This window comes from Homo sapiens, chromosome 7 (genome assembly GCF_000001405.40).
Source record: "Homo sapiens chromosome 7, GRCh38.p14 Primary Assembly".
NCBI lineage: Eukaryota > Metazoa > Chordata > Mammalia > Primates > Hominidae > Homo > Homo sapiens.
Window position 1 is genome coordinate 113909400 of NC_000007.14, and position 13894 is coordinate 113923293.

The 13894-nt window shown below is 35.0% G+C and overlaps 1 protein-coding gene across 2 annotated transcripts in view; it reads right to left on the minus strand.

The window, feature by feature from the left end:
• The window catches only part of PPP1R3A (protein phosphatase 1 regulatory subunit 3A), a 42233-nt gene extending 32623 nt beyond the window's left edge, over window positions 1-9610 (minus strand). Inside the window, exons 1-2 of one of the 2 annotated variants that reach the window (XM_005250473.4) lie at window positions 9420-9610; window positions 8816-8898 (exon numbers count right to left, since the gene is read on the minus strand). In XM_005250473.4, the coding sequence (XP_005250530.1) occupies window positions 8816-8898; window positions 9420-9515 (179 nt within the window). In that variant the 5' untranslated portion in view covers window positions 9516-9610. Of the gene's footprint in view, window positions 1-8815 lie in introns of both variants that reach the window. The other variant, NM_002711.4, reaches the window with a different exon arrangement.

The window sequence follows — 13894 nt, forward strand, 5'->3', positions numbered from 1 at the left end:
CCTTCTCTGACTCCCAGAGGAAATACTGTAATAATAGTACCTCCAACACTGAGAATTCAAACAAAGAAGGCAGGGCTTGGAGAGTGCCTTAGTTAAACTCCTGTTGACCAATTGGGCTATTCCTGATCCATCAGTGTTGACAATGTATGGTCCTGGTAATAGTGATGTCATTCACCCCTTATGAGAATTCAGTTGATGATGGAGTTTTTTCTTCTCTGGCGTATGCATTAAAACACTACAAACTTGTTTTCTAGTTAACTAATTCAGACCTCAAGGGAAAAACAAAGTTATTGAGGTTATTTGACATGGAAAATAGAAGTCTGTGAGAGAAACAATATAATTTTGCTTGATTTTAATGTATAAGGATAGGGATTCCAACATTTAATTCAACTGAAAGAGTAAATAAATGACTAAAGACAGAACAACGTAAGTGGCTACATTAAAGTCATGGAACTTTTCTGATAGAACACATTATTGAAGAACATAATCTTCCCAAGAGATATGTATTAGTTTGTTCTCACACTGCTAATAAAGAGATACCTGAGACTACGTAACTTATAAAGGAAAGAGGTTTAATGGACTTACAGTTTCACTTGGCTGGGGAGGCCTCACAATCATGACGGAAGACAAAGAAGCGAAGGCACATCTTACATGACAGCAGGCAAGACAGCTTGTGCAGGTGAATTCCCATTTATAAAACCATCAGATCTCACGAGATTTATTCACTACCACGAGAACAGTATGGGGGAACCCACCCCCATGATTCAATTATCTCCACCTGGCCCCACCCTTAACACGTGGGGATTATTACAATTCAAGGTAAGATTTGGATGGGGACACAGCCAAACCATATCAAGATGATTAAGAAGAAAATATATAACCATTTGACCTGGGTGTTTTCTGAATACTGCTAAAAGCAAAGGATAGAATTAGATAGTCTCTCCTACAAAAGGATTCAACAAAAACTGTTCAGAAATCAAGTACTGTATTAACATTGGAAACAATAATTATAACTATATTTACACTAAATACTAAATACAATAAACACAATAATCTTATGCACCTACTTAAGATTATATGTGAACAATATAATCTATTTTCTGCTGCAGCTAAATGTGACTTTTTAAAACTTCAATTTTTCTATTGGTAAGTACTTACAAGATTTAAGTTGTTTTAACATATAATAAAATTATTTATAAATATTAATCTTCAAAAGGTGAGGTTGATAGACTATATTTTGTTTTTCAAATATAGTTTGTGAAACTGAAATTTATCTTAGCAACTCTATGTGATTTGTAATTGTGTTAACACATCCACAGTAATTTTTAGAAATGAAAATCAGCTGGAGGTTATTCATACAGATTTATAGTCAATAGGTTAGGTTTGTACCATGGCTTAATTCTCTAAATACCACGGATGATATTCTGATGGTGTCAATGGGCTAAGAAATGTTTTCACATAATTAGGAAAAGCATTTTCACTATTCAGTATAATTTACAAATATCAATGGGGAGGGTACTTGAATCCTTTTTACTACTGCAAATTTCAAAAGGTGTAAATAAAAATCAAAACCATGACTACACATAAGACAACCATTACCTTACAATATTAAAATTCAATTCATAGTTGTGACTTGAATAGTGCTGATATACAACACAGACAGATCATTTTCAGAGTAACTTGGTGTGGAGGGAATTTTAGAATTTCCTACGACAGGTTTGTTTAATTGGTCTCTGTCCCTGAGCAATGCAGTATAACAGTTAAATTTAGCAAATTCCTTGTTTTCATCTTTTTATCATAAGATCTTTAAACAGCAGGATGGCATGATTAAGGCTTCAAAACCAGTTGTTATTTTTATTTAACAGATAATAACACTACCATGCTAGTTAACCTAGTAAAGCTATTGAAGCAGCAGAATGGACACCAGAAAAGATTTGAGAGATAATACTCTGAAAAGAGATATATTCCTTTTCGTATAGTTGTGGGATACATAGAATGCTTTAAAACAGAGGAATGACCGAAATTTGATGTTGCATAATGTATTTTCTTAGAAGAAGAGAATTATATAAACTTCAATTTCATCTTCTATTCATAGGCATAAAGAGATAATAAGGTGAATTGTGTGCAATCAACTCAGATATTTAGTCCAAAAGAACCATCTTCAGAAGAACTACCTTAAGAAAAACATGTCCTCAGTTTCCAATTTATGAACAGGTGATGTTCCAAAGCTTTTTTTGTGTGTGACCCAGAAGTTGCTAAAATTTGGAAATCATTTACCCATAGAAGCAATGCTATAAATACTCGTCTCCCTGGCTAGTCCCCCAAGACTTATTGAACCATAACATGATTAATTTTGAAACTATTTGTTTTAGCCTGGGTCCTGGTAGCAGGAATGATGAGGGAAAACAGCATTTCTCCGTTAATCTTGGGCACAGTACTAGCCATACACAAGATTGGAAAATGTGGAATTTATCACCAATGTCATTAATACTACCACTTTGAGTATCTACAAAATGTCAGCAACTGGAATAGATGCTTGTATGTGTTAGCTAATGTATTCCTCATAGCAACTCTGCCAAGTAGAAATTATTATCCCTATTTTACACTTGAATAAAATAGATACAAAATATAATTTATCCAAGTCAAGCAGATAGTAATTAGTTAGAATTAAAGCCTCAAGGTCTTGCCTTACTTTAAAGCCCTTGCTGTTTCCATTATGCTTCAATGTTTTTGGAATTCTCCATCCTCCATATACACATGTACTTCAGACCCCATGAGTCTCATACTACTATGGAACCCTATCACAACGTACTTAAATCTACCTTGTATTCTGTAGTGCTCTCTGCTCTAAAATCAGACATTTCCATTTTCTCAATCCAAACTCAAAGTGCCTCTGTGCAACTGACCTCAATGGGTATAAGATTGAAATAGCTCCTGCCACCCTCGAGGGGTCTCCATTTAAGAAGGAAAATCTCACACATGTGTGTGCATGTGTACATACATATATAAGCATACAACACACACACACATATATATATACACAAACACATATATGTAAATTTTAGGCAAGGTTACAAAATGAGGTGTCAGATTATAGAGGATTTTTTAAGTTTGATAGGGCCCTGGGCAATCGGATCCACTTCAGATATCTGCCCTTGAGGTCTTTTCCCCTGCATTATTTCCTGTTGAGGGGTAGGGGTAAAAACCTGGAATAGGGATGAGAGTCACAGTTAGCAGAAGTGGAGGAAGGTGAAAAACTAAGTTGACCCACTTCATAACGGTGCCATCTTTTTCTTCTTCCTTTTTTCTTTTCTTTTCTTTTTTTGCCAGGAGCATTTTTGGCTCAGAAATAGTGGGCTCTGCTTTATTTTTACAGGCTGCAGATGGGCTTCAGGTGGGGAGGGATAGGCTCTCAGAGATCCCAGAGGATCCATTTGAGGCATGGCATTCATAGTGACTCCTTTCAGCCACAGCATGAGAGACACCCTGAAGGAGGATACCCTTTTGTTCCTCTTCTCTCAGAAAAGTTTCAAAATCACTCTAGGGAAAGTCTAGGATGGGGTATGGATTTCCACAAAACCAGGAAACCATGAAGCCTTGGTGGACCTCCAAGGAAACTTGAAGCCAGTTGGCACCTCGCTGTCAACCAGCTGGCTGCTTTCAAACACCCTCCTGATGGGCCCTGCACAGCTGTGTTTTATGTTTCCACGTGGCCTTGCCAGAGGTCCCTCCTTAAACAGACCCAGCTTCCACAATTAGTGTGGACTCAAAACGAGTTAGTTATGGCATACGTGAGGTCCCAAAGGCCTCGTGGGGCTATTTACACCTCTTTGGACTATTTCCAGGACCCCAGATTATACTGTATGCGTAAATTAAGGAAGTCTCACAATCCAACAGCTCTGACTGAAACACACAATGTAGCCATATCTTAGACCCCATTTCCCAATGCTTTTCTTGGCCTCATTTTCACAATTTTACCACCCTGAAAGATAAACCCTCTGTATTCTTAAAATTATGTTTTAGAAAGGAGTTCTCTCTTTCCTGTTCCTGAACGTACCTGGTTTTTTTCCTACAGTACAAAAATTGAGGACTAATCAATTTTCTCCTTTGGCATTAAAGTCATTTAGGACTTTATTTGCATTCACCTGGCCAAGTTATAAATACCATCAAACACCTATATCATGCAGTTTCTTTACTTAAAATAATAAATTGGTTTCACTTAATAAAATACAAAACCAGATGAACTCAACCGGTGTACCCAGCCATTAGGAACATACATTTAGCAGGCAGTGGGGAAAAAAAGCCAAGATGCTGAGAAGGGAGACCACCCCCCAGGCCAGTAAGTACACAGTGTCAGCTCTAGGTCACATATTCTAGAAAACCTCAAGTGGAAATAATTCTTATTTCATTTTTTATCTATGGCTTCTACTGTATACCCAGAGAATCTGAACTTGGTTTTGGTGTTTTCTCTCTTCCCTTCATTTCTCTCTGCTTTTCAAGGCCTTTTCCCTTGGGGCCTCTTCTTGTCTTCACAGGCGCCTGTCTCCAGCCACATTTCTCAGTTATCGATACTGCTGCCTAACAACTCAGAACCTGACATACAGTTCTTTAGTAAACATTTGTTGAATAAGTTTTGGAGCCTGAAACAAGGAAACCTATGATGTATGGAGAAATAATGCAAGTTCAAGAGTCAGGACATTAGCTGAACAAGATTTGATAATAAAAGGGACAATTGTGATGAAGGGCTTTTGATGATATCCTCATGTGTGTCTAACATGCTATATTAAAAGCTTTAAGTATATAAACTTATTTTAATCAATGTGACACTAGACATCATGACCCTTATTTGACAGGTGAATAAACTGAGGCTTTGAGCTCTGAAGTAATATGCCCACAGCCACATAGCTACTAAGTGTAAACTTTACTGAAATTAATATGCATGTCTGTTCAATCCTAAATGAATGCCTTTTTATCCCTTTTGGTCTAGTTCTTCATTTTTTCATCTATTAAATGTGGAAATTTTAACATTCCTAAGTTCTCTTCCAGCTTTAAGATAATTCATATATAAAGTGACACATTTCTCAAGAAAATTTACAGTTCAGTTAGTCTTCCTTGTTGATTAAAATCTTGCAAGAGACAAAGGAATGGCTCTCCAAAGCTGAAAATTTAGAAGCCCTGAAATGAAAGAGGAGAAGAACTTTGGTGCAGCTTGAGCCTTGCAGTTTTTCAGATACACCTAAAGCTGAAGTTACCATTGTCTTTTTACAGCAGTTAACATTTACTGATAACTTATTATGTTCCAGACACTGTGCTAAAAGTTTATATGTATTACTTCACCGAAATCTCAACCCCTATGAGATAGAGCTGTAGTTGTTCTCAATTAACATACCAGAAAAACAAGCTTAACTTGCCCAAGTTCATATTGCTAGCATGTAGGAGAGCTTGGATTCAAACTCAGATATCTTTAACTTTGAAGCCTAAAATCCTAACTTTGAGGTTATATTGTTTTGCATGCCATTTTAGCTTATTTGTCTATGTACATTTAATGTGATTTATATCAATGTCATTTTTGTCATTGATTTTAAAATAAAACCCATCAGATATATCAGGAATCTGCTTAGTTTGCTAGCATATGTGGTGATACTTAAGTATCTCATGATGCATGCCTTTCGGTGCAATTAAATATCTTTGGGTCACTCTCAATCACATGCCTATGAGTTACAAGCTCTGCCTCCCCTTCTCTCTACATATTTCTTTCTGTCCAAAGTGTACAGACTATCAGGCATCAAAAGAAAATAGACAACCCACACCAATGTGGAGATTTGCAAACTCTTAACATGAGAAAAATCTCCATAGAGAAAACATAATGCCTGGGTGGGTGATTGACTTAACAGAAATCCTACCTAAATGTATTTCCACATTCATTCATTCCATACTTATTAGAAGGGATTATTGACACTTTCAGAAGATACAATCTCAGGCACCCTGATAGCAAATTAACTTTTTTATTAAGAAGAATTGAAGTTAGCTGTTATTCTCTACACTAGGGCAGCCTGATTTTCATTTTAGCTATGACTGATATTACATACTATTACTAATCTATTTGCAGGTATAAAGAAAAAATCATATATATATATGTATGTATATGTATATACATATATACATATACATATATACATACATATACATACATATATACATATACATATATATACACATACATATATATACATATATATATTCTGTTTTTACCTTCTGAAAGAAATAACCTCCAAATTAAGCTACATAGGAAGTGTAGAAATGCTCAGAAATGACCCATTTAGATTCTGTAACTATTTGGAGAGAAGAGATTTTAGTAGCTATAATTTTTGATCAAATAAGTATTAGTTCATTTTTATTTTAGTCAAGTACACATTTTGTAAAATAACACCGATAAGGTGTGCTATTTTTCTCTAACCAAACTCTTCACAATAAAATCCAACTGCAATATTCATTTAGAAATTTGATAATGCTCTCTTGTGTGAGTTTTAGGAATATTTGAAACCCCATTGCATATAAATTATATCATGGAAAAGCTGTATAAATATTCTATTATGGCACATGCTGTTCTAAGGATCTGTCAGGATTTCCTTTATACACTCCATTTTGAGTGGTATATAAATCAGATGTAAAAATTCATGTTGGACTGAAATTCAGCACAAAATGCCTCCTCCAGAGGCAAATGCTTTTTTCAAAATGTGGTTCGAATTATGTTGGTCATTTTTAAGTTACAGAAGTGCAGAAAATGTATTTGTGGTTTTGAGGGAGAGAGATTTTTTCCATTTTTATAACTCATTAGGAAACTTTACAGGCCTTCAGACCATTTTGTGGTTTAGTTCTTCTCAGGTTTTTCCCCAAAGCAATATTAAAACTTGAATGGTGTCCGCTGTGAATCCAATGATTACTGTTCTGAATACAAATGTATGTGTGGATACATATAGTTCTACATATCTTCAACTAGGAGAAGTTCCAAAAATATTATGACCAAGGTAGAAGATGAGGCCTATCAGTTGGCTAGTCTTTGCCTTGGTATCAGTCAAGTTTGGCATATCAAAGGAATCAAAGGAATCCCCTATCCAAACCACAGTTCAGCAGGTATTGCTTGAATTTTAAAACTGCATTAAATTGCAGAAAAATCCGCTGAGTTCAACACTGCCTCTTTTATGAGCTTTTAGACAATAATGCTGCGCCTTTTCTAAATTTTGGTTTCTCTAACATATAGAGCAAGTTGCAGTGTGTTTAACAGATATTCACTAATGCTTATCTCATTTCTAAAGTATTTAATATGTATATATTATGCATATAAATTAGTTTGCTAAATAATGTTGAACTTATTTTGTTAGTGTAGCTAATGTGTTAGAGTAATTTCATAAACATCTAAATTATTATTTTAGCCTATGTAGAGATTATTATACTCTCTTTCCTAACAGCATCAGTTAAAATCAAAGAAAGTTTGATTTAGACCAAGAAAGTTGGCCTAATTCACAAAGTTGATTAAGCCAATATTTCAGATGACTTTAAAGGAAAATGAAAATAAACATAATATATATGTTTGAATTGCTTCCATCTATACTGCATTTAGTTTATTAATACATTGGAACAATGCATTTAGTAGTTATTATTTATCGTTTAAAGCACAATTTTTAAAAAAATTTCCCAATATCGTATCTTATGCTTTGTATTAAATTCCCCTTAGAGAATTAAATCTGGGTGTCTTGATTCCAAAACAGTTCCCTTTCCTATTTCCTATATTTCCTATTTCCTACATTACACTATTTCTGGTACAGTTACCAAAATCCTTGGGTTTAGGGACAGTTAAGATGGACCACTCAGAGGATGATCAAACATTTGCCTGTGGCTGGAGCAATGTAGACTTTCCCTCTGGGATACTGAGGAGCAGAAGGGGTCTCACTTCTCCTGAATGTTTTCTCTACTTACCTAGTGTCACAGAAATTAGCCAGCTATGTACTATCGAGACAGCTGAATGCCAGTTTTTCTTATTTTTCACATTAACAAGAGAGTAAGGTTACTAATGAGGGGTCACATCCCAAATCTCTAATCTATATAGCTGAATATCCCTATTTATATTTGGGTCATTTTTTGTTCTGCTCCATTGACTTTTACTAAATTATACTAATTTGTGTTCCATAATGTTATTCTTGGTTATAATTAATGAAATTTTGTGTGTAACTCATATATCACTGATATACTTATGTCTTTCTGTTAATCATTAAGGTCATTTCTTTTATAATTTAAATTAACATGTATCACTTCAAACATCCCTGTATAACTCAAAACAGTTATGAAGAAGTTCTTTGCAGCTTTTGGGAGAAGTTTACAAATTTCTGAGAACTAGATACATATTGAAATATAGTTTTATGTTAATCAAAACTGTTTCAAAGGAAAGCATAGACATTTAAAAACGACTGAAAATAAAAGTACTTTAAATGTCAAAGTAAATAATTTTATATGTGAATAATCTAGATTTCATGGTTTGAGCAGGAATAATTTATAACTCATTAGGCAAGTAATATACACAGTGCACTTCTCTCCCAACCTATTGCATTACAGCCATATTTTTTCTCACATTTGTAGAAAGGGTTACACAGTGCTATTATTTGAATAGCTTTGACCTTGTTAAAGCCTGGCACCATTGTTTTTTACATAGCAAGCAGTATATTTTTAAATAGAGTCACTTTCTTACAACACATGAAATAAAGAATGACATAAAAACTTTAAGATTGTGAATAATAAAATATGTAAGATATATCCTCACCTTGATTTTACCTTTAAGCAGCCTTTTATTTGTCTGTTAGGAACTTCTTTCCATGGTTTTACAGGCTCCGGCTCTTGTTCTTTCTTTTGACAAATGAATGTATAATTTGTGCCATTATTATTTGACCAAAATGTACCAACAGAAGTTTCATAACGTATACAAAACTCAACTTTACTGCCATCTTTTTGATAAGGAGGAACCAATACAATCTTAAAGGAGAACTGGTCAGTTTCACCATCACATGAATTAGGAACATATTCTGCTAAAATGTCATAATGTGTCTGCCAGTCATCTAAAGACATTCTTACATATACTAACTTCTCAAAAGAAACATTCAAAACTCGAATAATACCCTTGATACTTGTAGACCCAAGAAGAGACTCAGTTGACTCCAGTATTGCTTTCTGTATTTGGAGTTGTTGCATAAGATCTTCTTTTGAAGAAGGCAAGTCAAACAGTGGGGCTAAAACATATTCTTCTGTGTGGAAAATGTCCGTCCCTAAGTCAAAAGTGGTTGAAGCACTCGGTAATTCCCAGCAATCAAATTCTTTAACAGACACAAGATTGAATCCAAAGGAATCAGCAAATGAAACTCTTCTAGTACCTGAAGATGGGGTATCCAGGTATATGTCTTCAGAAGAATCAGAACCTCGTCTACTTGGTTGAGGGGAGAAACCAGGTTGGAAAGTAACTTCTTCATCTTCACAAAGAGAGTCAGATAAATTAGGAACTTCTAAAAAATTATCTTTGCTAATCTGACTAGGTACTTCAGAAGGCTCCATTGGGCTCTCTGATATCAAATAAGAGAGAACTGTACGACTAGTAGAGGCTGACATTTGAGATACTGAGGCTTAAAATAGGTATAATGTTACAGTTGACATTGCAAAAAGAACTCAGCTCTATAAATAGGTCCAATGGCGTGTCAACTATGCTAGCCTGCAACCCTGCTAGCCTCCCCCTAAAGGCCTTGCATATGATAGCATCCATGCTACTCCCACCAGTATGTTTCAGATTTAACTGGCAGTTTTTAAAGCTGTATTTGTTTATGAGCTAAGTTCCAAACAGATATTTTTAAATCATGTTCTGCTGTATTGGAAATCCTGGAACTTTAGGATAAAAATATTATTTTAATTAGTTGATGTTAAAAATGAAAATGTGGATTTTTTTTAAATAAAATAAAAGTAGTATCACAATACTGAATATGTAGTTTGGACTAAATTAATCCATGGAGCAGGTAAGTGCAAACAGGGAAAGATAAGAACATTTATAGAACTGAAGAGATCCAGAGCCTACTAATAATGACAGCTATCATTTTCAGGGATTTATAAATGTATAGCTTTATTACAAAAGGGTTAAATAGAGGTGCTGAAAGTTCTGAGGAAGGAAACATGATTCAGATGGGGAAGGTATCATTTTAAATAAAGCATGAAGGGTAGGTGGAATTTAGACATGCAAGGTTGGAGCAAGGCAGATTGTCCAGGTAGAAGAAATAACCCAAGCAAAAGCCTAGAACAAAGAAGTAATCAAATTCATTATTTTAAACATTAGTACATTTATTTTAATTAAGCCATGGGAAAATACAGATAAGACATGTTATTGATTTACAAATATAAGTGGGCAAAGGTAAGCCTGATCCAGGACTAATACATCTACGTAGAATAAAATGTTCTTTTGCAAATGGCCATTTTATGCCCACAAAGCAGAAGTTGATACCATCACACCTTGAAATTCAATATGAGTTTTAAAGTATGAACAGCCTGCTTAAACTGTCACGTTTTTTTTATGTCATAAAACCCAAGTTGGGGGATGGTCATTTTGGTAAAAACCTATAAAAATTTAACTGCACACAATTTGACCGAGAAATGCCCCAGCTAGAAATTTGCTCTGTCAGTATGGGAAAGTATACAAAGATAAATAGAGATCTATGTTCATAACAGAATTGTGCGTTTAACAGTCTCTACAAACCTGTTAAATGTCCCTCTCGAAAGAGCATTGGATAAATAACCCATACAATAGAATGTTTTAGAAGGATAAAGTAGCACTTTATGTGCTAATATGGAAAGATAACCAAGATAAATGGCTAAGTGATAAAAAAGAAAATGTGTACAGATATGTACATAGAAAACTCCTGAAAGGATACAAAAGACAATGTTAGCAGTATTTACTTCTAACCACAGAATTTAAAGATGGCAGAGGAATGGGGGCTCTATTCATTTTACTTTATGGTCTGCTGTACTGTTTGAAATATTATACATGAGCATGGTTTTCTTTCAAAATATCTATTAATTAAACTGAAAAAATATACGAAGTGTGAAAGGTGATTAGTTTTTCTTTTTATAAAGAGCCCAATAGCATAATTTCTTTCAAATGAAAACCTCATTAATATGGTATAACTTATTAGGTAATTTGAATTGCATAAAGTAGTGGATGGAGAAATTATTTTCTAAAATTATAAGTGACTAGTGTCTAGAAGGATAAAGAAATGAAATTATTTGAGCTTTATCTCATCCACATAGCTAGAATGGGTGGTGACCACATGGATTGCTCAAGAATGGGTAATGGCTGCGGAAATGTCTGTGCCTTTCAGATTTGATGACTACAAGTAGCTATATTTCAAGGTACCTGAAATACATTGCTATGTAGTCAAGGAAATCAGCAACAAAATGCTTTATGGAAATTAGTAAAATAGTTCATATAGCCATGTAAATAATGGGATAATGAAAATTTAAGATATAATAATGTACTGAAATATTTTAACTATCCAGGAGTTAGTTAGCAAAGGAATGGAAATGAAGACCCCTGGGTCCATTTCCTGGCTCTGCTGCTTACTAGCTGGATGACCTTCCGAATGTTACTCAGATGTTCTAACCCACAGTTGCCTTAATTGTCAAAGTACAATGTTTAAAATTAAACAAGATTCTTGTTAAATGTCTAGCACAAAACCTATAGTAATAGCACCAGTCACTATTTCAATTCCGATATATGTTTGTAAAAGGCTGATTTCTAAGGTATATCAACAGATAGATGGATAGATATGTAATCTATCTAGCTACAGAGAATTCATATATATCATTAAGAAATGATTTGTAATTTGTTTCATTTTTGTCTTTTTCAAAGGCTATAGTGTGTAACACTTAGCTTTATAAGACATAATATAGCTCTACATTAGAAAATGGTCCTGTTATTTGATCTAAACTTTTCCCTTGTTAATGTGTCTCTTTACACAGAGCACTACCTTGATTTGTAGTAATCACTGCCTTTCTTTTGGAATTTATAACCTTCACATAATTGTAGACAGTTGACATGTTCCCCCTTAGTCACCACTTAGCTAAAGCAGAGTGATTTCATCTTTTTAATCTCTTCCCACATGTCAATCCTCCAGTGCTTTTTACCATTTTGTTACTCCTCTATGAACTCCTTCCAGCTTGCCTGTATTTTTCTGTTAATGAGCTGCCCCCAGATGAATGCAATATTATAGATCAAGTGTCTCTGGAGCATGAAAAGAAATACTAACAGCCTCAGCCTTGTGACTTGGTGTTTGCATTCAGTTAAAATTCACATTTCCTTGCTTTATTTCCATATCACAGATCAGACCAATGTCCCATTTTCTCATATCCACCACTACCTCAATTTCAACACAATTTATCACACTCTTCTTCAGCTGCTAAGGTATACTGTTTTTAGAAGAATTAAAGCTTTTTCTTTCCTTCTTTTTTTTTTTTTTTTTTTTTTTTACAAACTAAAGCTCAAGTCTCCATGCATTCCATAATTTTTGGTATTAATCAAATATTCTCAAAGGCACCATTAACATAAAAAACAGTATCAGTCAGGAACCCAGTAAATAGGAAATAGATGGCATGCTCAAATAAGATAATTTCAGGAGGATTTATTTACAAGGGTCTATTTATAAAGTGTAAAGGCAGAGAAGCCACAAGAACTAGTGTGACAAACTGGGGTCAATTGCATCAGAGCTTTTACCATCCTTCAAGGGATAAGGGAAGGGAACACTTATCAGAACTTGAAAGCAAAGCGTGCCATAAAGAGCTTACCAACTGGAGACCTGGTCAAAGGACACAGCCAGTTGAAGACGACTTTGCCAGGAGTGATCCGGGAGCATAATAAACTGAATTCATTCTTCTCCCTTTTTATGATGTCCTACCAGAGCTACCTATTGGCCAGAGGGCATGGGAACTATTATAGTTCATTCAGGTCAGTCTCCCGCAGCAGAAAACAGGGAGGAAAATGGTGGAAAGGGTGGCAAGTGGATTTGGAGGAGCAAACAGAAGATATGAGGTATGAAATATATGCAAATATGTATATAACATATATACATATATAACTTAAAATACATATGTGTGTTCCTCTTTATTTATACATACTGTATCTCAATGCCAACTGAGTTTCTATTACCTGATCTTCTACTGTCATGGGTTCAAGAAAAAAAGTTAAATATCTAAGGTCTGATCAGCTCTGATCCAGTGAGAATCAAAAATAAGAGAGATTGTGTTTATCCACAAATGGGTAGGAAAGAAATGATCTATTTTGAAATTAATTATGATTTTGCATTTGTTTCCCATGTTAGCATAGATTTTTGCAACCCAAAGAAACGTTTTGTCAAGAGACAGTCTAGAACTGTAGTCTTTAAAACCAGAGATAGATGTCAAAAATCACTGGGAGAGATGTTCAAATAAGATTTTCCAAGAGGATGATGGTTCACAAGTGATTCTGATATATAGACTTGGTTAAGATGCGTGATCTCCGGCTGGGCGCAATGGCTCATGCCTGTAATCCCAGCACTTTGGGAGGCCAAGGCGGGTGGATCACAAGGTCAAGAGATCGAGACCATCCTGGCCAACATGGTGAAACCCCGTCTGTACCAAAAATACAAAAATTAGCTGGGCATGGTGGTGTGCACCTGTAGTCCCAGCTACTCGGGAGGCTGAGGCAGGAGAATTGCTTGAATCCAGGAGGCGGATGTTGCAGTGAGCCGAGATTGAGCCATTGCCCTCCAGCCTGGAGACAAAGTGAAACTAGGTGTCAAAAAAAAAAAAAAATGCATGATCTCCTAGTCTGTCTGCC